This window comes from Homo sapiens, chromosome 2, assembly GCF_000001405.40.
Source record: "Homo sapiens chromosome 2, GRCh38.p14 Primary Assembly".
Taxonomy (NCBI): Eukaryota; Metazoa; Chordata; class Mammalia; order Primates; family Hominidae; genus Homo; species Homo sapiens.
The window spans coordinates 210,200,405-210,228,039 of NC_000002.12; the positions used below are offsets into that span (position 1 = coordinate 210,200,405).

Below are 27,635 nucleotides of genomic sequence, written 5' to 3' on the forward strand. Positions count from 1 at the left end.
ACTATACAAGTTATACCTCCAGTCAACTGTGCACACCCACCTCCACCTCATTCCTGACATTTCTAAACACCTGAGTGAAAGGGCATTCACTGAGAACCTCTGATACGTGTAAATCAGTGATCCATAAATGAAAGGGAATATAAAGTATAACATCCTTGCTCTTAAGGAAATCAGAATTTAATCAAGTCAAGTCATACTGTTTTGTTAAATGTTTTCTTGATTGAGTGTACCTCATTTTTAGAGATTCAGAACAACTGTTTTAGGTTTGTTATGTCAATAAGAAAAGTTAGGATGTAAAGACTTTTTTTCAGGATGGAAAAAGTTAATTTGATGACAATACCGGTAGCAAACAGTTCCCAAAACGACAAAGAGAGGGTCTAGATCAAGAGCAAGAGGAAGTAGATGGTAAAAAGGTCTCCCATATTGAAACAAAATGGAGCAAGGCATTATGTAAGGAATAAAATAAGGATAACAGCTAATTTTAATGTGGGCTTACTTTGCCAGGCAATATTCCAAGCGCTTTATGTATATTACCCCATCTAATTGATAGAGACAGGAGACAGCCGAGGGTCTCTGGTGAAACCCTGCCTTCAAGCCTAAACAGCCTAAAGGCTGAAAAACCCGACTGCTGGTCCCAGATGAAGCCTGCCCTTTCCCAACTGATCCTTTCTGAATAATGCCCACCTGTGCACTGGGAGGACGGGGTGGAGCCTCGGGAAGTTCACACTGTTTGCAGAGGAGAGGAGCCTAGCCTCTCCTGTTCCTGTGTGATGACCTAGGATTCAATCTGTGAGGCAGGAGAACTGCTCGCAGGACTTTCTTTCACTTTGCTGAGAGTTCCTTTCTCCTTTTCATTTAATAAACCCTGCCCTACTCAATCTACAATGTGTCTGCGTGCCCAAATTATCCTGGTCCTGTGACAAGAACCCAGTTTTTTCTACAACATAATCCTCACAACAACGCTATGAGGCAGTCTCTGATATTCACAAGTAGGAAAATATTTTATAAATATTTACAAACGTTATAAATTTTAAAGATTTATAGTCAAAATTTTACAATTTTGCAAATCAAATACATTTTATATATTTACAAATAGGAAACTATTTTTGAGAGAGAGAACACGACTAGACTACGGAGATTCAAGTAGCTGTGTTAGGACATAAACCACACTTGAACATAATTTCTAGAATGCTGGTTCTGAAAAGCCACCAAGTTGTTTCATTTCTACCTTTCCCTTCACAAAGCCTTTCAGCCAGTCATTCTACTTAAAAATTTTTAAGTCAAATCCCAACTCCAGGTTTTTTGCTGGTGAGATGTTTTGCCAATTTGATGACCACATGAAGGAATTATAAACTATTCCTTCATTTAAAAAGAAACTATAGGGTCTAAAATTTAATTAGCATATTTAGTGACTGCGGCCACTATATACTGAGTTCTTTTGCAAAAACCCTCAAGTTCCTGGGAAAACTCAATCCTAGGTAAACACAATCATCTGTCTTTTCTCTATGTTTGTACCTGGGAAGCTAAACTCTTATCATAAAGCTGATTGATACACAAAAAGCAGAAAGTAGTTTAGTTTCTCATTCTGAAGAAGATATTTCATACCTCCCTCACCCTTCTGCAACACCTCCATGCCTCCTTCACTCACCTGTCTTTCAAGGACTTTCTCTATTGTTATTTATTTATTTATTTGTTTATTTTTGAGATGGAGTCTTGTTCTGTAGCCCAGGCTGGATGGAGTGCAGTGGTGCGATCTTGGCTCACTGCAACCTCTACCTCCTGGGTTCAAGTGATTCTCCTGCCTCAGCCTCCCGAGTAGCTGGGATTAGAGGTGTGCACCACCATGCCTGGCTAATTTTTGTATTTTTAGTAGAGACAGGGTTTCACCATGTTGGCCACGCTAGTCTCGAACTCCTGACCTCAAGTGATCTGCCTGCCTCAACTTCCCAAAGTGCTGAGATTACAGGCGTGAGTCAGTGTGCCTGGCCACGTTATTTAAAGAAATAGAAGTCTTCTATAAAGAACTTTTGTAGTTTTCTACCAACAGAGTGATGTATCTGTCTGAACTCATAGATGTCCTTTGCTCCTTTCTTCCTGTGCAAATGAAGGAATCCCTCTCCTGTTGATGGGAAGGCCTATCTTTCCATGTGTCAGCATCCACAAACTCACCCTTTCTCAAAGACCTTACGCAGTTGATTATTTCCTTCCTATCTACAACCTTTCCCTCTTTATTAAATCCTTTCTTTATATACAGGTATTAAAATATGCACCCGCATTCCCATCCTAAAAATAACGACAAAAAATTAATAACTCCCAAATATCTCCCTTGAATCTCAAATCTCCTTCCCCTCCCCTCTTCGCTTACCACCCTTTCTCTCAACTACCATTCACAGCCAAACTCAGGAAAGAGTTGCCTACCATCAGTATTGTTTTACGTCCTCATTTCTATCTACTCATCGGGTGTGTCACCCTCCACCTCCATTAATGGCTCTTACTAAATAATCTCCATATCATTGTATTCAATGAACACTCTTTGCCCTTCGTCTTATTTTTCCCCTAAGCAGCAATTGATCCCACTCCCTACTCCATGAAGCCCTCTTTCCTTCCAGCTTCTGTGACAAAGCTCTCCTGATTTGCTTTCTCCTTTCTGTTTATTCATTCTCAGTCATCTTACAGGCTCCTCCTTTTCAGACAATATGAATTCCAAATATGAATTCTACCTTTAAATCTTGTAGTCTTCCTCAAGGACTGTGTCCTAAGACCACTCCTGTCTTACTCTCTACTATCTCTCCTTAGTGATCTCATCCACTTCCATGGTTTCTAATATCACCTTACATGAAAATAACTCCAAACTTCTATTTACCCCAGGCCATTTCAGATTAGTAAACTGATACCATCTAATACTAAACCACAGTGACAAGCTTACCTGTAGGTGAGCAACTGTTTTGCCAAAAGCTTTTCTTTGTTTAACATAGTTCCTGGTTTCTTCAAACATGAATTCACTAGCTGAAATTGCCACATCAGCAATTAACAGCCTTTCCTATAACACAAAAATTAGGTCTTAAACATTACTCTAATTATGCAAGTGATTTTCACACAATTTCAATTACGATAAATCCTATAAATTATCTTTATAATAAACTCATAAAGATTAATTTATATCTTAACTCCTTATAAGAAAACAGATTTATGAGATTCTTTTGACATATCTCTAATCACTTTCTAAAGCAAATCCTTTATTTTTATGAATGACTACCTTTATTTTTTTATAATCTTTTTAAATTTTTAAGAGACAAAGTCTCACTCTGTTGCCAAAAATGGAGTACAGTTGCACAATCATAGTTCATTACATCCTGGAATTCCAGGGCTCAAGTGATCCTCCCACCTCAGCCTTCCGAGTAGCTGGGACAACAGTCACATAACACCATGCCCATGAATGACTGTCTTCATTATATATATGCAATTTAATTTTTCTTCTCTTTACTCACATGTGAGTTAAAAACAATCCCCAGTTGCTTATTTCAATTTATTAATCTCTGCACACTGTATGACTCAATATATCTGTGGAAATAAACATCTTAAAGCACATAAGTTAAATTCTACCTATTAATGTAAAAGTAGCCTTAGTCAGTTTGATTCCATCATGCTGGTGTTTTTCATGGCAGTCACTAGGCAGGAGTACCCCCTTACACTGGCATCTGAGGCTCAATAATCACTTGTCAACCATACTTTAAAACCATAGCTGTTTAGGGACTGACCCTATGTGGCTAAAACTTTTCAGTCTGAATTTTATACTTTTCCCTTTGATTCACAGTTATTATTTAAAAACTGGCAAACTATCAAATGTTTTGCAAGACATTTCCTTACAAAGAGCTAAAAGTTTTTGAATTGTAGTTAAGAAGCTAAAATCATTCTAAGAAGGAATCACAGAACTGAAATATCTGTTTTTCCTACTTACTTTATAAGCTTTGATTGGATATTACTGAGTTCAGTTATTTACTTAACTACCCTATAAAACTCATACTTTTATTACAACTTTAATACTCAAATGATTAGCTATTTCACAAGTTTTGCATGTATAAATTTGAATGCATAATATAGAAATAACATGTTTCTATATTATTCTATTCCAATTCATTATTCAGTCAAAAGATGGAATCTTTAAACACTTCTGACCTGTGGAAGCTCTTTCATGATGTAATAGAAGCCTTTATTCTCTTCTCCAAGTAGGGCACTAGCTGGCAACCGTATATCTTCAAAGAATAGTTCTGCGGTATCCTAAGAGACCATACAAAAAATGTAGAGAATGGTCTCATTTAAATCTTCCAATAACCCAGTGAATATTGAAGTGAATATTATTTTTTCCAAAAAAACAAAACACAAATTGGAAGCCAAGTTGGAGTAGTTAATGAACATAACTAGTAAGTGGTAAACCAGGGATTTGAACCCACAGCCATCTGATTCTAAACCTTGTGGCTTTCCTACTGCAATACACTATCATTCCAGCTCTAATACTGTCCAGTTCTCAAGGTACTTGGAACTAAGGATTTCTAATACATATTAAGCAAAACATGCATTTTTGGTAATGTATAGAAAGAACATTTTCTGGGTTTTTTTTGTTTGTTTGTTTTATTTTTTTTGAGACAGAGTCTCATTCTGTTGCCCAGGCTGGAGTGCAGTGGCGTGATCTTGGCTCACTGCAACCTCTGCCTCCTGGGTTCAAGTGATTCTCCTGCCTCAGCCTCCCGAGTAGCTGAGACTACAGGTGCCTGCCACCACACCCAGCTAATTTTTTATTATTAGTAGAGATGGGGTTTCACCATATTGACCAGGCTGGTCTTGAACTCCTGACCTCAGGTGATCCGCTGGCCTCAGCCTCCCAAAGTGCTGGGATTACAGGTGTGAGCCACTGTGCCTGGCCACACTTTATTTTTATTTCATATTTTTCTTTAATGCATTTTACAAATAGATGGCTTGTTACCATGCAGTTAATTTTGCCATTTCTAAAACAGATATTCAAAATACCTTGATTCATTTCTATTGCTGACCATCAGAAAGATAGAGTGGTATAAATGAGAATAAATCTCATTACCACATCAGAAAAGCATATTTTAGGAATTCAGCATAGGAAATAAAATTGTGCCACATGTAATCCTCTATGTAAGTCTCCTATCTGATTAACAGTAAACTCAATTAGTATCTGAATATGATTTACATTATCACTCACCTGGGCTTTTAATCCCATTTTATGTAGCTTTCGTCCCTTGATAAATCCTTTCATTCCATTTTCCACCAGAAAAAGGCTAATACCATGGGCAGGGGAGGGAGCTTCATGATTTGTGACCGCAACTACAATCACAACATCACTTAATGACCCATTACTGATGAACACCTGCAAAACCCCAAGTACATTATTAATGCACCATGATAATTCAATTCTATGTGCAAGTTATGATTGGGAGAAAGTATATTACAGAAAACTAAAACAGACAAGACATGCTTGATACCTCTCTCTGTACCCTACCCAAATATCTGCAAAGTTGATTATTCACACATGATGTTATCAAGGATCAGGGGAAAAATTACTTAATGCTTCAAAGAATGAAACCTATAGATTTTCTTTTCACTATTAATATTATACATAATAATAATAAACAGAGATTATTATGTTCTTTAAAAATGAAACCAAATTGTCTATTATGATGATAAATTGTATTTTAGAAGGAAGCCACTGATAAGAAAAGAAAATCTGGCCGGGCCCGGTGGCTCACACCTGTAACCCCAGCACTTTGGGAGGCCGAGGCAAGAGGATCATTTGAGCTCAGGAGTTCAAGACCAGCCTTGCCAAAATAGTAGAGACAAAAAAATTAAAAATTAGCTGATGTGGTAGTGTGCACCTATATATAGTCCAAGCTACTCAGGAAGCTGAGGCAGGAGGATCGCTTGAGTCCAGGAGTTTGAGGTTACAGTGAGTTATGATTGTACCACTGCACCCCAACCTGGGTGACAGAGTGAGACCCTGTCTCTAGAAAAAAAGAAAAGAAAATAAAAGAAAAATAAAAAGAAAGAAAATCTGCTGTAAATGGCACTATATTATTTATTCTCAGATTTATCAGTTTTTGAAAAGGACTATTTTTGATTTTTGTAATTGATATCCTGCTTCCTTTAAAATGGTCTAAATAGGAAACTATGATTAAGGAGGGAAAAATGACAAGCCAAATGAGAGGGATTATCAGATGATATTGATACAGAAAACAGTATACTCAGAGCAAATATTAATAATTATCTTCTCATTCTGCATCTTTCCTGGTTCATCTCAATCATTTTCACGGCTTGAGTCACCCTCTACATGCTGATGTCTCCAAATCTTTATTTAAGCCATGTTTCTTTTCTTTTTTTTAGAGACAGGGTCTCTCTCACCCAGGCTGGAGTGCAGTGGTGTGACCATAGCTCTTTGCAGCCTCAAACTCCTGGTAAGCCACATTTCTTGATAGGACCTGGACCTGAATAAGTACTTGCTTCTGGATAGTTCCACCTGATGACTCATGGGCAGGACATATTCCTTCCCACCCCTACTCCTATCCAATCCTGATTATCAACCTATTTCCCTATCTCAATGAATGCTTCAATAAATTACATTATCATCCTGCTTCATATTCAATTCAGCATCTAGTTTTTTCTAACCCATCTTAATACTTTTGGAATTTATTCACTTCCTTTCAAGTCTATTGTAATTACCTTATTTCCAGCCCTCATCATTTCTTAAGTTCCTACAACTGATCTCTCTACAGCTGTATCATTCATCATGATGTCAAAGAGATTTTTCTAAATGCAATCTGATCATATCACCTTCACACTTAAAAATTTTTGAATAGCTCCTAATAGGCTTCAGGATAAATTCAAAACCTTTAGCAGGAAATAGAAAACTTATCACAAACTGGCACTAGCTTACCTCTCCTTACCTGGCTTATTGCTTGTCCCACTTTCCCCAATTTCCTCTTCTTCAGTCAGCTCTACTAAACTACTTGCTGTCCATCACGTTGCGAGGTCTTCCTGACCTATGAGTCTTTGAAAATCTTGTTTCTGCTACTTGGGAAAGGCCCTTTCCCAACTCTGCTGCAATGAATTGTACTCATCCTGGGTGGTTTAGACATCAGATTGGCCAAAAGGTCTCAAATTCTCCAGGCTGGGTTAAGCGGTCCTACAACACCTCAAATTTACCAAAATGATCTGTTTTTATCTCTCTCTCTTTGAAATAGTAGGGGTATAAAATGATGTTGGTTACTCCCATCACCTAAAATGCACAGCACTGATACATACAAATAATGAAAAATGGGCAAATAATGTTAGTGTTGTCTACACAACAGCAAATGAATATAGTGGTGGCAGTATGGTTATAGGTGACACAATAATAAAAGATCATCAACGTGCCTCCTTACTAGGAGCTCATAGCCATTTCCTATTCATATATCTATCTTAAGTGCTTAGAATTCTTTTTGGCACAGAGGAGGCCAAAGGATGTTTTAAAAATATATTTTGAAAAAGATGTTCCTCAAAAAAATTCTATACAACTTGGCAAAAATATTTTTTCAACAGTATTGCTCCATTACACGACTCCCTTGCTCAAAAACCTTATAAGTCTACCAAGCTCCTACCTTTCTGTCTAGTTCCTAATGTCTGTATAGCTGCCACAGTTGAAATGCTATGAGTGCTTTTTTGTTTGTTTTGCATCACACAGCATCCAGGAATTAGTATCTACAGTATGCTCTCAAATGGTCTCATACATGTTTTAACTACAGATAATAAATAAACAATGGAATAGAAAGGAAGGGAGGAGAAATTCATTGGGCAAAAACTATTCATTTTAATATGCTGAGCTCAATTTGGTAAATCAAGTGGAGTTCTCCAGAAGTTCTTATTGGAAGTAATTATAGCAAAGGATTAATAAAATCTGAACCATTTCTACAACAGTGCGACCTAAAGTGAGTTTAAACACCATGGTGGATCCCCCTTTCTAATAGAGTTATATGAGAATTTTCCTTGCAAGTGGACTTTCTCAGTTTGTTTCCTAATTATGACACTCCAAAGTTTGAATAGGGCTGAAATTATCCCTAATGAGGGCCAACATTTTTGGGTGGTAGGAGGATATTAAATGCTTATAAAATAACAGAAAATCATTGCAGATATTGTATAGAGAATGTAAAGTTCAAAAGAAAAAGGAAAATATAATTCTCCATAAGTACATAATACAACTATCATTGATAATTTCCTTTCTCATATTTTTAAATTTTAATATAGTAAAAATGTTCCTATACTTGCATTCTATATCCTGTTTTTTCACTTAATGTATAATTATTTCCTGTACTGTTAAAAACTTTGTGTTGCTAGTGTTAATGGCTGCACATTCGTTCAGATGCACCGTATTTGCTTACCCATTCCTTTACTTTTACTTGCTTTCAGTTTTTTGCTATTTCTAATAGAGTTTTTGAAACAGAGTCAGTGGTACTTTTCCTGTGTGGTTCCCACAAAACCCTATGGCTGAGCAGACGAGGTCTGCTTAGAGAGCTAGAGGCATAAGAGAATGTGGTTCCCATTTCACTTCTGACCAAATATCCCACTCCCCTTTCAAAACAAGCCTTCTATATGTGAGGAGTTAACTGATTATATGTTGGAGCTATCATCCGTTTAATTATAATTCTTAGGAGAAATTATTTAAACAAATATTTATTAAAGTATATTTGAAGAACACCAGTGATTCAATTTTGTAAATACAGAGATAATAGCCCAAACTTATAAAAACTAATTCTTCAACAGACCTTGGCACATATTTTCAGAAAGATTGTTTTAGAACAGTAAATAAAATGAACATCTTTCCTTCACGTAACACTCAGTCAACAACAAATATTTACTGAGTATATACCAGATACCATTTCAGGTGGGCAATATCACTTGCCCTCAGTGATATCAAATGCATTTGCCCTCATTGATATCAGAGATCCTGAGCCCATTTGTAACCTTAATTGGAAGCGCTCTCCAATTCTACCAGTGAGTTGATTAATTTAGTAGAACTGAATGGTTCTCAAATGGCTCTCAAATTCTATCACTGTATCACTGATATCTTTTTCTCCTAGGATCTTTTTTTTTTTTCTTTGAGAGGGGGTCTTACTCTGTCTCAACCTCCTTGGCTCAAGTGATTCTCCCTCTTCAGCCTCCTGAGTGAGTAGCTGGGACCAAAGGGCACACCACCATGCCCAGCTAATTTTTTTAGTTTTTACTTTTATAGAGACAGGGTCTCACTTTGTTGCCTAGGTTGGTCTCAAACTTCTGGGCTCAAGCAATCTCTTGCTTCAGCCTCCCAAAGTGCTGCGATTACAGGTGTGAGCCACTGTGCCTGGCCTTCTCCTAGAATCTTTTGAAATTCTTCTTGATCTATATGAGAAAGCTTTTCCCCCAATCTTTTATCAACATAAAGTTTAAGTATTATTAATATTTGTCCCACATTTGGGCAATGTGAGCCTCACCTTGTCTTTTTCTGGTTTAATAAGGGCTGTTTGGAAGCTAAAACAACCTTTGCCATATTAGTGAGGGGGCATGCAAAATGAAATATAGAAGAAGCTACCACAGATCTTAAGTAATATATGTTGTAAATTTACTGTCTCCAAAACAACTTAGATAAATTCAATTCCTGCCTGAGTCCCTAGATTTAATAGAATTAATGAGTTGTCTTTGAGACATTGTTACCCATGGCATGACTCTGAAAAGAAGGGCTATAGAAGTCCTTTTTTACACACCTTGCTTCCATTGAGAATCCAGTCACTTCCATCCTTTTTAGCATTTGTTTTTATTCCCTGTAAGTCACTGTAATTGAAAGAAAAGATAAAAAATTCATCAAATGATAAAAATTAAATTATACAAATGATATAAGTATGTATGTAAATTAGATTATTCAAACTGGCTACACCATTATAAAATTGCTGAGTATTAAGAATGTTCACACAATTGCACTGAAAAACCATGCTGATCTATTATATTCTAAAGCACTTATACAAATAAATATATGATTAAGATTTATTATATAAATTAGCCAGGTTTTATACAGTAGTATAACAAAGCCCAACTAACATTCGAGACCCCAGTGGGACTCACATAACATTTCAAACCTCACTGTATCCCTGAGATTACGTGTCACCATGTACTTTGCTGCCTTTAAACACCTTGGTTCCTTCCCCTGTCTCTATTGATCAAAAATTTAGCTATTAGGCAGGGCATGGTGGCTCATGCCTATAATCCCAGCACCTTGGGATACTGAGGCTGGAGGACTGCTTGAGCCCGGGAGTTTGAGACCAGCCTGGGCAACAAAGCTAGACTCTATCTCTACAAAAAGTTAAAAAATTAGTTGGGTGTGGTGGCACACGCCTGTGGTCTCAGCTACTTGGGAGGCAGAAGTGAGAGGATCACTTGGGCCTGAGAGGTTGAAGCTGCAGTGAGGCATGATCAGGCCACTGCACTCTAGTCTGGGTAACACAGTGAGAATTTGTCTAAAAAAAAAAGAGTATGTCTCAAATGCCATTTTTTTCTAACAAACCTGCTCTAAGTGTAGAATAGATTATTTTTCTAAATATAAGAGAAACAAATATTAGTAAATAAAATATTAAGAACACAGCAGTCCAAAGGAGAAAAATAATTTTAAAAATAATTTTATCTCCTGGAATGAACATTTTAAAGGTATATCTTTCCAATATTTTTCTATGGACATAACTATACATATATATGCATTTTTATAAAACTGGAACCATATAATATGATTTTGATCTGTTAACAATATCTAATGACTTCTTATTAGCTGAATAGAGCATCATCATGGATTTACCATAATTTTAAGAAATAATCCCCTATTGTTAAAACACTTAGGTCCCAATTTTTATTAATATCCTATAATAAACAGCAGAGTGTATAAACAGTCCACATTACTTGTGTAATTTTTCCAATTTGTCTTCTTTATGTGGGTGATATGGTTTGGCTCTGTGTCCCTACCCAAATCTCATGTTCAATTATGATCTTCAGTGTTGGAGGAGGGGGCCTGGTGGGCTGATTGGATCATGGGGAAGGACTTTCCCCTTGCTGTTCTTGTGACAGTGAGTTACTTATCATGAGATTTGGTTGTTTAAAAGTGTGTATGTAGCACATCTCCCTTCTCTCTCTTCCTCCTTCTCTGGCCATGTAGGACATGACTGCTTCCCCTCTGCCTTCTGCCATGACTGTAAGTTTCCTGAGGCCTCCCAAGCCATGCTTCCTATACAGCTGGTGGAACTGTGAACCACTTAAACCTCTTTTCTTTATAAATTACCCAGTTTCAGGTATTTTTTATAGCAATGCAAAAACTGAGTAATAAATACAGTGGTGTTTTTATTTTATGCCCCTCAGCATTTTTTTTTTTTTTTTTGAGACCGAGTTTTTCTCTTGTTGCCCAGGCTGGAGTGCAATGGCACAATCTTGGTTCATTGCAACCTCTGCCTCCCCAGTTCAAGTGATTCTCCTGCCTCAGCCTCCCCAGTATCTGGGATTACAGGCGTATGCCACCATGCCTGGCTAAGTTTTTTGTATTATTAGTAGAGACATGGTTTCACCATGTTGGCCAGGCTGGTCTTGAACTCCTGACCTCAGTTGATCTGCACACCTTGGCCTCCGAAAGTGTTGGGATTACAGGCGTGAGCCACCGCACCTGGTTGCATTTTTTTTTTTTTTAAATCACTCTCTGTATTAGGCTGAATAATGACCCTAAAGATATCAGGTCCTATACCCTAGAGGCTGTTGTACCTTACATGGAAAAAGAATCTTGCAGATGTGATTAATTTAAGGATGTTGTGATAGAGAGACTATCATGAATTATCTGGATGAGCCCTAAATGCAAACATGAATGTCCTTATAAAAGAGAGGTAAAGAGAGATTTCATAGACAGAAGAGAAGGCAATGTGACCACAAAGGCAAAGACTGCAGTGACGAGGCAACAAGGCAAGGAACGCCAACAGCCACCAAGAAATAGAAGAGGAAAGGAGTGGATCCTCCCCTATAACCTCTGTAGAAAGTGTGGCCCTCCTGATACCTTGATTTGGGCCCAACAATACTGATTCTGGACTTTTAGCCTTCAGAACTGTAAGAGAATAAATTTCTGTGTCTCAAGCCACCAAGTCTCTGCTAATTTGTCACAGACGCCATAAAGCAACAAATATACTCTCTTAGAGCCATTTACTTTGAATTTCAATTATAATAAAAAGGAATTATCTTTCCCACCTACCACACTTATCTGACTCAAGTTTTTTGAGAACATGTGGTGTATCAAGATCATATTTATATGCTTGGTGCCTAGCATGCTGCTTTGTACATAACGGGCACTCAATAAACATTTGTTAAATTATATTATTAAAATGCCAAGTATACAGAAAAGAATTAATATAGCAGGCCTGAGACTGCTATCCTTAGAAAGGCCTGTTACAACATTGTCCGTGGCTAACATCTGAGAATCTGGATTTCAGGAGAGTTCCCACCATTCCCAGTACTCATAAGAGTGGCTTACTGTCTGAACTGTTTGCGCAAACAATTTGGCTTATGCTGAATACCTGCTTTCCTTTTAGGGATCTGAACTTTTGGTACATGCCAGGCAGAGGGTGCCTATATGACCGACCTCCACTATAAACAAGAGACTGTGCCCAGCCTGAATGCTATTGTATTCTAACATCATATTTTTCATCATAAGTATGTATAAAGTATCGGTAACTAATGTCTGTACATAGTTTATTAAAACAATTCTTCTATAGCTGGGTGTGGTGGCTCATGCCTGTAATCCCAGCACTTTGGGAGGCCAAGACAGGCGGATCACCTGAGGTCAGGAGTCCAAGACCAGCCTGGCCAACCTGCTGAATCCCTGTCTCTACTACAAATACAAAAATTAGCTGGGCATGGTGGCGGGCGCCTGTAATCCCAGTTACTTGGGAGGCTGAGGCAGGAGAATAGCTTGAGCCTAGGAGGTGGAGGTTGCAGTGAGCCGAGATCGCGCCATTGCACTCCAGCCTGGGTGACAAGAGCGAGACTGTTTAAAAAAAAAAAATTCTTCTATACAGGGACATATCAAAGGAAATAAAGGTAATGACATAGCTCAGTTTGTAAATTTTTCCTAAATTTTTGAATGTTATATATGAAATATTAAAAATGAAAACGTATACTACTTAGTAAAGCCAACAAGTTAGACCCTCACAATAATCTTCTTCAGTATCATTTTCTCAATTTCATTGATAAGAGACATTGAAGCTCAGAGATTTTTACCCAAGATCACACAGCTGGTGTCAGAACACTCTGGCTCCAAAGATGTCAACAATTTGCTCTATGAACTTGGTCAAAATACTTCATTTATTATTTTCTGTTTCCTTCTTATACAGAAATCATATCTCTATATTCCATATATCTTATTATAATAGCCATATAATAAAATCAACATGAGATCAGGTGCAGTGGCTCACACCTATAATCTTAGCATGTTGAGAGGCTGAGGCAGGAGGAATGCTTGAGTCCATGAGTTTCAGACCAGCCTGGGAAATATAGCGAGACCCCATCTCTATTTCTTTAAAAAATAATAAAATAAACATGAAAGCATTTATAAAATGCTAAAGTAATACAACATACAAAGATACATAATTATATATAATGAAGCTTTCCTCCATGGAAGGGGAAAGGGCCAGTGAAACTCTGGATGTTTTTCAACAATTGCAACATTTTTTTCTGTGGAGGCCAAATCAAACCAAAAATATAGACAGTGCTCAATCCATCTCTGAGGGCAGGCAAAATGAACCATATTCCATCTTCTATCTTCTTTTCTTCCCACGTGTTTTTCCCTATTTCATGCCAATTTCATGCCATAATTCCGTAATTCCTCAACACTCTATTACTCTTCTTCATCTGTGGCTTTTCTCTGTTCTTATATTCTCTTACCCACATGGGCTCTTTGCTCATCTCTCTAAATACCTGACTTATTTACTATATCCTCTCATGACTTTCAATGACCTTCCAAAAAAGAAAGAAAGAAAGAAAGAAAGAAAGAAAGAAAGAAAGAAAAAGAAAGAAAGAAAGAAAGAAATCTGCTTATTTTCTCCATCTTCATTCTCAGGTTTCCTTCTTAATTATATACACTTAACCACAGATAAGGCCAGAGACTTTAAACAAAAATCACATGAACCTTTGTTTGCATGTATAAATTAGAGATAAATCAAGATTTCATTTATTCTATAGCCTCTTTTTGAGAGCTAATATGCAATGAGCTGGAAGTGGAACATGCTAACCACAGAGCTAATACAACTCAATCTGAATATTGGCAGTCAGTCAGGTAGTTATCTTAGAGAATGAAATTAAAAGCAAATTTTAAGGAACAAGGTTAAATTTCTACTTGTTTAGATCACACTTGTAGGCAACAGAAGTGAACAGAAACCTTTAATCTTTGACAAAATTGTTAGTATTGACCTATAATTAGGGATTTATATCTTAAAAAGATAAATACAATGTAAACATATTGCAAGTCATGCTATAGAATATTAAGAGATTTAAAAATAAATAACACTGTCAGAAAAGAAAATCTTACAATAAAAAAGGAGGGCCTGACCTCCGCAAAAACAATTCCTGGATTTTCACTTACACTTCTTTGGCATCTTTAAGTTCTTTCTTTGCACTATTTGCTTTCTGTTGACCCACAAGTTGCTGCTGTCTTTAACATAAATAATTTCCCTTACCAGTTAGCCTCAAACCACTGCCCCCTCTCTACATTTCCTTTTACCACTCAGCTCTGAGAAAGATTACTTTGTGTTCTCTGCCTCTGTTTTCTCAACAACCACCTCACTCCCATAAAAGGTAACTTCTGCCCCTCCACCCCACTGAAATCACAAAGGATCATCAGGCCTGCCAAAACCTCTTCTCCATTCTCAACATCACGGTGGCCTTGACATTACTAACTTCTTTCTCCTTTCCTACAGCCTTTCCAACTGACTTCTCTTCCTACTCATGTCTAGATTTCTTTAAAACTCTCAATCCTTCTGTCTCTCTTGCTCCATCTTCTTTTGTACAGTTCCAAATGAAATATAATGCCCAGATTTTCCTCCTTGGTCCCTTTTTTGTGTTTCATTTTTCCTCTTGAGGATCAGGTCCCACTCTGTGGAAGCTCTTTCTCCCATTCTTATAAAACTGGTTTCTTCTCATTTGTCAAATCTCAGTTTAAATACAACCACTTTTTATAGGCCTTTGTTAGCATTCACATCTAAATTCGTTTTTCCCTATCCCACCAAACACAAACATACCATTAGTCTACAGCACACTACTTTGTTTCCTTCACAGTACTTCATTTCCTTCACAGTACTTATCATAATTTATAGCTACAAATATATATACTTGCTTATTTCTTGCCCTTGCCCTTCTCCTCAATAAGCACAGAGGCCACATCTGTTTTGTTCACTACTGTATACCTGGCACACTGAAGACACTTATGAAATAACCAGCAAATAACTGAATATGTGATCTTATTCATTCCTATTGTATCAACTCTTATAAATGAAAGACTTTTAAAACCTATTGCTACTCCATCCTTGTCTCCAGAATTCCAAATATACCTCTGTAACAAACTGCTTGGCATTTACATGTGAATCTCATCCTACACCTAAAATTCATTATGGTGAAAATTCAACTTACACACTACCATTTTCTTTGCATAAAACTATGTTAATATCTCAAACATAGCTTACATTATAATCCGCTTTATTGTTATTTTCCGACTTGAGGTCATGAATTATCCCGTGTTCATCTTTGCCTTCCTCCTAGCATATAGCTCAGTCTATGTATTAACCAAGTACTAAGAAAATGTTAAGGCACTGCTTCCAAGAATCCAAAGCCAACTAAATATTAACTTACCTTCCAGCTCCAGGCTCTGTCATTGCTATTGCACCAATACATTTGCCTGCAGTCATCTGGGGAATAAAGTGCTTAATCTGTTCTTCTGAGCCATGGTTTGTAATATAGGACATGACAATACCTGAATGAATACTAAAACCTGGGCCTGAACAATTTGAATAAGCTCTTAGAATGAAAAAAGAAGAAAAATTAGAGCATAAAATAGCAATAAAAAACGACTATTATAACAACAATGTATTAAGGTCCTATCAAATTGTTTGGTAGTGGCCTATCTCATCACAAACCTATGACATTCCTGAGTGTTTTCTCTTTTTGTTTTTACTAATTTTAAAATTTCTGGTTCCAACACAATAACAGTGGTCTACCAGAGTTCAATGAACACTTATTTAATTGAGAGATAAAATATTTTAAAATATGAATCACCTGCAGTTGTATTCCTCTAACACAGTGGAATAATAACTGTATTCCTCTAATTACCTTTGCCATAAGGATATATTCTAATAAGACGGAGTCTTGGTAAAACAAAGAAACAAAAGAACAAAAATAAAAAATAAAAAAGCAAAAAATAGAAAAAAAGAAAAAAAAGGACCAAAAAACAAAACAAAACAAAACATGGAGTCATGGAGTGAATTTTGTACTTTGCTATTTTCTTTTAAAATTATGACACACATACACACACACAAATAAAAATTTAAAATTTAAAAATAAATTATATGACACAACAAAATCCTATTTTTTTTACATATATTTTAATCTTAAATAGCTGCAAAATATTCCAAGTTGTTTATGTACCATAATTTACTTATCCATTCTCCCACTGCTGGACATTTAGATTGCTTCAGCATTTGGAGAACTGTGACCTAACATGACAATGATTTCTGAACACAGCATCTATTTTTCCTATTAAATTATTTCCTTAGGATAAATTCCCCAAAGTGGCATTCTATGTCAAAGAGCAGGAACATATTTTTTAAAATATGTTTTCACCTTTTTAATCCCCCCAAAATTTATTGTTCTAATTTATAATGCCACCAATAGTGTATGTCACTTTCACTGCAATCTTGTCAGCACTGGGTATTAGGATTTTTCATTTTCACTAATTTTATAGATGCTCAAAATGATACTTCCAGATCAGTTTAATTTGCATTTGATTGTTACTAAGGATGAACTTTTCTCATTTAAAAAAACATATTTGCATTTCTTTTTTGATGAATTATTGCTTCAAATTCTTTGCCCATTTTTCAACTGCAATCTTTATTTGTTCTTGTATATTAAATTTCTAATATATTTGATGGAAGTATATTTCTACTCTGCTGTTCTCTTTCAAATATCTTTTCTAAGGGGGAAAAGTAACCATAAGCATTGACAGGAAAAAAAAACTATCTCTTTAATTTTCAATAGCACCTATTTCAGCAACTTAAAAGGATTTTCTTATTATCCCACATTCAAAAAATGTGCAAGAGTGCATGAGCGGTATAATCTTTTACATTTTACACTGAATTTTCAATCTTCCAAGATTAGAAAACATTTGTTTGTTTGTTTGTTTGTTTGGTCATTTCAGAAAGGTGAGTGGTGTGTTTACAAAACAAGACTCAACCTTAAAAGTCTCCATACTTACTGCTCCTCCCAGACAATAGCTGCGGAGTACAGATCCCCTCCAATTCCACCAAGATGCTCTGCAATATTGACACCAAGCAGTCCTTGTTTTCCAGCTTTTTCCCAAACCTCCCTACTTACTTCTCCAGCTTTCTCCCATCTGCAAATAACAAATATTTTAAATTCAGATAATTTTTAAATATTATTTAAATGGCCACAACTTTGAACTTATGAATGATTTTGTGTAGAAATGCATTCTTAATTTAAGGTAGTTATTTACATTAGCCATATGCTTCTATTTGCCTCTGACTCTTTTATCACTTCTGTTCCTCCTTTTTTCTGCTTTTTTTTTTTTTTTTTTTTGAGACAGGACTGTCACCCAGGCTGGTGTGCAGTGGCACAATCATGGATCACTGCAGCCTCAAAATCCTGGGTTCAAGCAATCCTCCCACCTCAGCCTCTTGAGCAGCTAAGACTTCAGGTACCTGCCACAAGGCCAGGCTAATTAAAAAAAAATTTTTTTTTGTAGAGACGGGGTCTTATTATGTTGCCCATGCTGGTCGTGAACTCTTGGCCTCAAGCAGTCCTCAAACCTTAGCCTCCCAAAGCGCTAGGATTACAGGTATGAGCCACTGCACCCAGCCCTCTCCTCTTATTTATATTTGCCATTGTCTTCCCCCATCTTGACTATTTATTGGACTTGAAAATTATACCCACTGATATTCATTGATGTAGTTTTGCTCAGCAGGTACTCTTACATACAAGCTTAGTTATGGCATGTTGTCATGGGAATTTGCCTAACCTGTATTGTAAAAGGCAATTCTCCTTGGCATATTTCCTTAAAGTGCTGAACTTATGGTACAAGCATACAAAAGCTGACAAAGTAGGGAACCTCATTACAGTTTAAATAGGAAGAACAGGAGAGCAGAAGCACCTTACACCATGGCTCTATATCAAATTAACTTCTGAAAAAATTAGATATTTGTGTAAGGTAGGCAACCTCAGCTTTTCTTCTTTAAAAATGAGAATGGCAGAATGAGGAAACAGATGGCTAGTTGGAGATAGTGAAAAAATATCTGAGAATTTTTGTATTTTTAAGTGGATTATAGTGAGATATGGGGTATTTGAAGATACTGACACTACAAAAATTTTTAAGACTTGGATTATCATGTGTGTTTTGAATACAGTTCTTGCTTAAAGTAGCTTTGGAAATATTTTTATTATTGACTTAAAATTTGTCAGCTCCTATTATTTTATTTCAAAGCCTTCTTAACATTTTTTCTGGAATAAAATTTAAAAGCAGTGAGAAATAAACAAGAGATCCTACCAGAGCAAAGTGTACAATGTCTCTTTTGTCTTTAAGAAGCTAGTTGAAGCCCGATGTGGTGGTTCACACCTGTAATCCCAGCACTTTGGGAGGCTAAGGCAGGAGGATCGCTTGAGCCCAGAAGTTCAAGGCTGCAGTGAGCTATGATCATGCCCCTGCACTCCAGCCTTGGCAACAGAGTGAGACCATGTCTTAAAAAACACACAAACACACAAACAAACAAACAAGTCCTCAAAAAACAGAAGCTAGTTGCTTTTCACCGAAGACTAGTCATGGCTTCTGGCTTCTGAGTTTAGCTTATTTTGGTCATTCTTACCAAGAAGGTATTAGTAAAAACCTAATGGAAGTTACTTTTAATGCTATTTAAAAACCATTCTAAATGTTTTAAAGTACGGATGTCTCTGTACTTTATGACAGTTCAACTTACAATTTTTTTACTTATGATGGTGCAAAAGCAATACACATTCAGTCGAAAACATGCTTACTTCAAGTATCCATATAACCATTTTGTTTTTCACTTTAACATATATTAAATATATTTAATATATTACATGAGTTATTTAATACTTTACTACAAAGTAGACATTGTGTTAGATGATTTTGCCTAACTGTAGGCTTATGTAATTGTTTTGAGCATGTTTAATGTAGGCTGGCCTAAACTATGGGGTTTAGTAGGCTAGGTGTGTAAAACCTCACAAACCTATGATGTTCCTGAACCATTTCTCTCTTCATTTTACTAATCTTCTAATTTCTGCTTCTAACATAATAACGGTGCCGAGAATTTTTTTGTTTTTATAATAACATAGTAACAGTGTTAACATAATAACAATGCATTTTTGACTTATGATATTTTCAACTTGTAACCCCATACTAAATTGAGGAGCATCTGTACTAGCATTGAGTGAATTTTGGAAATGAAGCAAAATCTTATTGTAATAGAAATAGATAAGTTTCTGGTCAATAAAATAATAATAATTAGTTAATCAAGAACTATCCAGAGGTAACCAATTGCTTACCAAGGTTTGCATTGTGCTGACTTTTTGGGTTTTTACAGTTTAATTAATTCATGAAGCAGAAAAAGAAAGACTATGAAATTGACTAGTATTTTGTTACCACTTACCCATGGTTTTCAAAAACACTACTCTTAGACTAAGTTGTAAATTTTCAAATTTTCTTATTTGTGTATAGTACATTTTAAAATTCATTTAAAAAGCTCTAAGAATCCTGGGATCTTATAGTACTACAGTGAAGAGCAGTAAAAATGTTAATAAAGCCCTGAACATACTATGTTTTCTGTATAGCAATATATGGCATTCTAGGAAATGGTCCTATAATACCCCTAGTATACATTACATTAGAGGAAAATGTGCCACTTACTCTGAGTGATGAGGAATCACTTCTTCTTGGAAAAACTTCCTTACACTTTTCCGGAAAATGTCATGCTCTGGAGAAAAGATTCTTCGAATTCCTATATCTGTTAATTTTTTAGCAGAAGGAGTTTCTAGACGTTCTTCCCCTCCGGAATGAGAACATCTTAAAAATATATATATGCAATAGGAAAAGTAAGTGAATTGTTACTCTTCATATCCAAATTAGTGCCACTGAACAACATGGATTTCTTTCACAGAGAAACTTGAGAGGCAAGTAGAAAGAGTTTGAATTATGACAAAGCTGGGTTCAAATTTGGGCGCCACCACTTTTGATGGGATCTACCTCATGTAGCTGGAATTAAGAAGTACCTTATCATTATTCAACTCGGTCTCCATCTCCAAATCCTTAAAGAAGATGATGCCTAGAACTAACCACAGGTCTGACTTGAGGTGAAATGTAGTATTGTCAGGTGACATATGGATCACATTATGTAAAATTCAAATAGTACGGTAGAGTAATACTGATAAATTTTCATATCATATACAATGTTTAAAATAATGCAAAGCCTCCAAAATTAGTATTTTAACCAGAATCACACAATTTCAAATTGCAGGTGTATAAGATGCAAACCATGTTGATGTAATCGCCACATTACAAAGCCAATCTGGGTGGAGATAAAAATACCCATCAATCTCTGATAAAGATTCTGTAAAATGGAATTATTTAAGACCTACTCCCATCCCTCCCACACCAAGCTTCAAATGAGACAGTTTTGTAGCTCCTTTAGTTCAGTGGTCTTCAGCCTTTTTTACCCTTGAAGTACCCCTGAAAGAAATTTTGAAAATCTATGCATCATTTTGTACATTTTCAAGTTCACATCTAAAAAACTTATCATATATTCAAATCTTGCCAAAGGATGCTTTTTCTATTTTGCATTAAATTCTAATTTAGTGTATTTCTTCCTTAGTTGGACTCTGCCTTTTCTTTTCTAGTCCTTATCCAGAAAAGATCTATTTCATGTAATTAATCAAAGTAGACTTAAAGGGTTTTTAAAAAAATAACTTTTTACTATTACATGTTTCTTTCCTTTTTTTTTTTTTTTGTTTGAGATGGAGTCTGGCTCTGTCGCCCAGGCTGGAATGCAGTGATGCAATCTTGGCTCACTGCAACCTTCGCCTTCCCGGTTCAAGCCATTCTTCTGCCTCAGCCTCTGTAGTAGCTGAGATTGCAGGCGCCTGCCACACATACCCAGCTAAGTTTTGTATTTTTAGTAGAGACGGGGTTTCACCATGTTGACCAGGTTGGTTTTGAACTCCTGACCTCAAGTGATACACCCATCTCAGCTTCCAAAGGGCTGAGACTACAGGCATGAGCTATTGTGCCCAGTCGCTATTACAACCTATTTCTAAGTTTTCCCTAAGTATCATTTTTTTTGTGGCTTATTCATTCATTTAGTTAGCAAATATTTACTGAGTGCCAATTCTGTGCCAGGCACTGTTCTAGTAACTTGGGATACAATAACGAACAAAGGACTAAGATGAGGACAAAGATCTTGGCTTTTAAGCTTACATTCTAACAAAGGGAAACTGAATAAACAATAAACTATAAATATGCAAATTGTATAATACCTTAGAAGGTGGTAAGTATTATGGAGAAAGAAAAGTAGAGAAGGGATCAGGAGTATGTGCCTGGGGGGAGGCAGAGACAGAGGTTGCCGTATGAAATAATGTAGTAGGCGGGGCTTGGTGGCTCACACCTGTAATCCCAGCACTTTGGGAGGCCGAGGCCTGAGGATTGCTTGAGCTGAGGAGTTTGAAACCAGTCTGGGCAACATAGTGAGCCTTGTCACTAAAAACAAACAAACAAACAAAAAAAAAAAAAAAAGGAAAAGAAAAAAAAGTGCTGCAGTCAGGGTAGGTTAAACCAGAAAGGTGAGATTTGAGCAAACCCTTGAAGGTGATAGAGTTAGCCAGGCATACCTCTAGAATAAAAGAATTTTAGGACAAAAGAACAACTAGAGCAAAGGCTGTATGTCTGAATGGTGTCTGATGTGTTCTAGAAAGAGCAAGGAGGCAATTGTAGCCAGAGTGGGCTGAGAAGAGTAGATGAGGCCAGAGATTCTAGGAAGAAGAGATAACAGGGGACCAGGACATGCAGGGGACCTTGACCATTGTCCTGTTGCATCAAATAAACTAACATCTACTTTATCCCTATAATGGAAATGATCGGCTCCTTTTTCTTGCTAGTAGAGATAAAATTATAAAGCACGTATTTGTCCATATAGATTTTCCATACTTGAGAGTTTCCCTCAGGAAAAAAATATGCTGAGATTAGGAAACTGGGGCTGTAAGACACCGAATCATTTGTCAACATAATGAGTAAACAATAGAGCCAGAATTTAAAATCGAGTCTTACTGGATCTTAAAATTGAATAGCCTGTACTGTGTTAAGGAAATCTCTGCAATATTTTTAAGTAAAATATATAAAGACATAGGAAAGCAAAAGAAATGCCAAACGAATAAAGACTTTCAGGTCAGTCAAAGGTGGTCAAGAGAGAATATGCAGAGGGAAGAAAATCAAAACACTTGGCAGCAAGTTTATTGCAACATGTATTTCTCAGTCTAAAGATGAAGAAATCTGTAATGGAAAAATTGGCATTTTTTTCTCTAAGGCAATAAACTGCAACTAATCTTATTGGCTAGGCTATTATTGTTTTTTTAAAGTCTCCTACATTTTAAAAGGGAGACAATCTCCACCAGCACCTTCCACACACCTAGAAGCTGGTTATAAATACACAATCTCAGGCCCCATCCCAGACCCACTGAATCAGAAGCTGTATTTTAACAAGATTCCCAGGTGATTCCTTTGCACATTAAAGGTAAAAAAGCTGTTACAACAAAACTGTAGCCCCCCAGCCCATTCAGAGGGTCTCTCAGGTCTCCCTTTTTCCAGTGTTCTCTATTTGAGGGTAGATTTTCTTGCCATGCTTCAATCAAACTAACTTACGCCAATGGATAAAACAGAAGCAGATATAGTTATCTGGTTATCTTCTATTATGCCAGACATTAAGGGAGTTGTAAAAATGTAAAACAATGTCACTCTTTTCACTTTTTTTCTGTTTAGGAAAAGTTATTTTTCATAAAAACTGTTATTTATGTTAACATGTAATGAGCTTCTTATTGTAACTTTTAAATAAACTAAATATCTGTAAAGTTTCTCAGTTATGTAGATACCTTTCGATAACGACAGACGGATAGATATAACCTACATAAACAAAAGTCCTTTGAGGTCCTGTTTAAGAGCATAAGGGAGCCCTGTTATCAAAAAGTTTTGAGGCAGCACTTTGGGAGACCGAGGCGGGCAGATCACGAGGTCAGGAGTTTGAGCCCAGCCTGGTCAATATGGTGAAACCCCCGTCTCTACTAAAAAGATCAGCCGGGTGTGGTGGTGCGTGCCTGTAGTCCCAGCTACTCAGGAAAGCTGAGGCAGGAGAATTGCTTGAACACGGGAGGCGGAGGTTGCAGCAGTGAGCCAAGATCGCGCCACTGCACTCCAGCCTGGGCGACAGAGTGAGACTCTGTCTCAAAAAAAAAAAAAAAAAAAAAAAAGTTTGAGGATCACTGTCTTATAATGTTCCAAGGAAGAGTTAAGTATGTATCCTAAAGAAAAGTCACCTTCTCAGTGACGTCTTCCCAAATCTCCCCAGGAAAAGTAGGCATTTTGTTTCATAGCTCTCAAATAAAATTAGAGTAGCTTACACCAATGCTGTCATTCGCAAATTTGCCAGTTCCTTCACCCTTATTAAATAATGAATTCTCCATGCTTCCAATTTGTTTACCCAGTGAATAGATTTTATGCATCAGACAGTATCTGAAACTTTTGATCATATTATAAACACCACCTTAGTAGTCACTGAACTACTTAGACTCTGTCTTCATTAATCCTCTGTATTTAGTTAGATTTGTTGATATATCTAAAGCTAATTTCCTTGTTTGATGGAACCCTCGCCAGGTCATTTCTAGCCCAGTTTGTCCTGGACAATTCTGGTCCGCGCCGCAGCCCGGGCACTGAGTCCGGGTCCCAAGTTCACTACCGCGCGGCGAGTCTAAGCCGTGGGGAACGCCGGGTTCACAGCTCGAACTGGGACACAGATCGCAGCCCGCGCTCCTGCAGCCGGGCCCAGGGGGTGACCACCTCCTCCCAAAACGCAGGCTCCCGGGTCCCACTGCAGGCCGCTGAACTAGACGGGTTGGATTGGGGCTCCGGAATGAACTTCTGGAGAAATCTTTCGGCTTTCCCCGACGTGGGCTCGGCGGTCTGTTCTCGGGGCGGCACGGCTGACACCCCTTTTTCCTCCGCCCAGATGCTGGTTGCACCCAGTCCGCGGGATCCAGGAAAGGAGGCCAGCTCTAGCCCGGCGCCGGAGTTGGGGAGCACTCCCAGCCGCGCGCGCACCGCCCTGCTTCAAGCCAGCGACAGGAGTGACTCGCTGCCCCACCCCACAGCCTCCCGGCCTGCAGCCGCGGAAGTCCCGGCTGGCACTCACCGCGCGGCGGGCAGCTGGCGCGGCGCACGGTGGCCGCCCAGGACGCGTAGGGACCCTCGGAGAAGGCGTGCGGCCATGTCCGAAACACAGGGGCGGCGGGGCGACGGAGGCGACTCTGCGGCTACTCGGCGACTCGGGGCAGGGTCCCCGGGAGGGAGGACGATCAGCTGAGGCGTCCACCTGTGGTGTCCTCCCAAAAAAGCGCTCGCGCGCGCCCTTCCGGAGCCCCAACCACGCCACAGGCTGGTCGCGAGGGAATACGCCCGTCTTGGCTGTCAGCAATAGGATTTTACAGCGAAACTGCTGCCTTTGCTTGCAGCATTCTTTCTTGTTTATCGAAGCAGCTCTGAGCCTTTTTAGCGTCCTGAAGCGCTTTGAGTAACGGATGAAAGCTATGGAGCCCCCAAATACGCGCAAATACCTAACCATAAAAATGTACGTGAAGTTTATTTTGTAACCTTGGAAATTGATTTACTTAAAGTAGGCTGAATAGTTTGAGCAAACCCTTGAAGGTGATAGAGTTAGCCAGGCATAGCTCTGGGAGCCCATGCTATTTATTGGTAATAGCAAGTAGAACGAATTAATCCGACACAGGATTTAGTAGAGACAGGATTTCACCGTGTTAGCCAGAAAGGTCTCGGTCTCCTGACCTCGTGATCCTCCCGCCTCGGCCTCCCAAAGTGCTGGGATTACAGGCGTGAGCCACTGCGCCCAGCCCGTTCTGTTAATTCTTAAATGTCCAAGTTCAAGTACATCCGTTGAACAATTACTCTCGCCCTCAGTGACATTTCAACTAATAAAAGCATGCCCTGTAGAACTCTCAGGTAAAAGATGTGAAATATCCCTCAAGGGAAACATAAATGGCTCAAAGGGTTCATGAAATCCTGGGTGATTGGCTTAAACTATCTGGGTAGTTTGCTTGACTTTTCATTTAATTTTAGCACAGCTAACTCTACATTCATAAACATATTTGTTCTTACTTCACAAAAGGAAACTCAGTAGAAAAAAACTGATAAACATGCTAACCAAATGTGATTCAAATTAACTTCACCAAGAATGGAACAAACTAGCATTAGAGACACCTGTATTGAAAGGAACACCACATTATTTATATACTGTTGGGAAAAAAGGCTGAGGGTTGGGAAGAAAGCTGAGGCAGGGCTTGCATGACTGACATAATGTCCTCTGGAATGTGTCTAGACTTGCTGGCTCCTTGCTTTTAGCCCTCCTAGGCTCCTATTCCCATTATCTCAAGTAGCAGAACATGTTCCATACAAATGTAAACCTCCATTTACTCACCTGTAAATGAAGAATAACAATATCTATGTCATAGGGTTGTTGGAAAGATTTTTCAGATAACGGAGGTCAGGTGGTTGGCACAAAGACAGGAATACAATAAACATTCGATAAATGGTAATTATTATTGTCATCATTGAGAAATACTCATATTTTGTAGTAGATAAAAGAAAGAACAAATCCTTTAAAAAAACCCTCTACTTTGTGTATTCCAATGCCTATTCAATTAGAAGGCAAATGTTCAAGAAAAGGAACTGCTTATGCTTTTCCTCTGATACCTGGTAGTAAATGTCATGGACTACACGGTCCTTTCTAAACCCCATGAAAATGCCAGCTTCTTTAACCCAAATAACTGCCTGTGTCTGTATCTGTATCTGTATCTGCCTGTTTATAAATGTATAAAAAGTGAGTGATTAGAAATTATATATATATTTTTATATTTGGTTTGAAGAATACCTTGATGACATAATTGAGAAACTGAAATTGGCATCTGTTAAATGTGTCTGAAATATTTTCTTTTCCCTTATAGAGGACAATGGTCTCAAAACTAGTTACTGTTTTATGTTTTGGAACATTTTCTTTAAAAAAATAAATAGCAATTTAAGTATCTGTAACCAACAATTTTGACAGTAAACTTTATTGTCAGGATTAAGAATGGATTTGTTTAAGCTTCCAACTTCAAACCCTAATCTGCTTCTAAATTGCTTCTCTATGAGCCATACCTATAATATAATATGACCAAAATATTAATCATACACATTTATAAGGAAAAACTGCTCAAAGTAAAAGAAAAGTTATAAAATTTATCTTCTAGGGCTCTCCTTTTTTTTTTTTTTATAGTCATTGTATACAGAGCTCATTAGAAAAAGTATTTATTTATTTCCCCTGGTGCAAAGCAAAACTTATCTAATCAAATATAGAAGTGTTGCATAAGTTTTAGTGCATTACAGTCTTAGACTAAAGAAATCTAAGCATCTGTAATTCTGTAATATAGATCTTGGACAATGTCACAAGGATGATTGCTAAACCATTTTGCTTGCATAATACAGAATTATTCCTCTTCATAGCTGATTTGTATTTAGGGTAAGATAAGCCTTCATGGGAAGATTTTGCTGGCAATACATGCCCTTTGCCATAGTAATTCCACCTGGTCTCCATTTAACAATCTTTTAAGGCCAGACACGGTGGCTCACTCCTGTAATCCCAATACTTTGGGAGGCCAAAGCAGGTGGATTGCTTGAGTCCAGAAGTTCTAGGCCAGGCTCTGGGAAACATGGCAAAACCCTATATCTACCAAAAATTAGCCAGGCTTGGTGGCCTATGCCTGCAGTCCCCGCTACTCAGGAGGCTGAGGTGCAAAGATCACCTGAGCCCAGGAGGTCAAGGCTGCTGTGAGCCGAGATTGCGCCATTGCAGTCCAGCCTGGGTGACAGAGTGAGACCCTGTCTCAGAAACAAACAAACAGAAAAAAACAAAACACAACACTTTTAGCTTTATTTGAGTACATAGGTTTAACATTATTTCCATAGAAACCTGAATGTATTTGCTTAAACTCCA

The 27,635-nt window shown here is 37.6% G+C and overlaps 1 protein-coding gene across 3 annotated transcripts in view; it reads right to left on the reverse strand.

Annotated features, from left to right (window-relative positions):
* Positions 1-25,043, reverse strand: part of ACADL (acyl-CoA dehydrogenase long chain) — a 37,525-nt gene extending 12,482 nt beyond the window's left edge. The window contains exons 1-8 of one of the 3 annotated variants that reach the window (NM_001608.4): positions 24,783-25,043; positions 20,243-20,398; positions 17,561-17,698; positions 15,943-16,107; positions 9,792-9,858; positions 5,228-5,392; positions 4,177-4,278; positions 2,927-3,040 (exon numbers count right to left, since the gene is read on the reverse strand). In NM_001608.4, the coding sequence (NP_001599.1) occupies positions 2,927-3,040; positions 4,177-4,278; positions 5,228-5,392; positions 9,792-9,858; positions 15,943-16,107; positions 17,561-17,698; positions 20,243-20,398; positions 24,783-24,859 (984 nt within the window). In that variant the 5' untranslated portion in view covers positions 24,860-25,043. Of the gene's footprint in view, positions 1-2,926; positions 3,041-4,176; positions 4,279-5,227; positions 5,393-9,791; positions 9,859-15,942; positions 16,108-17,560; positions 17,699-20,242; positions 20,399-23,910 lie in introns of all 3 variants that reach the window. The other 2 variants (XM_005246517.5, XM_047444103.1) reach the window with 2 other exon arrangements.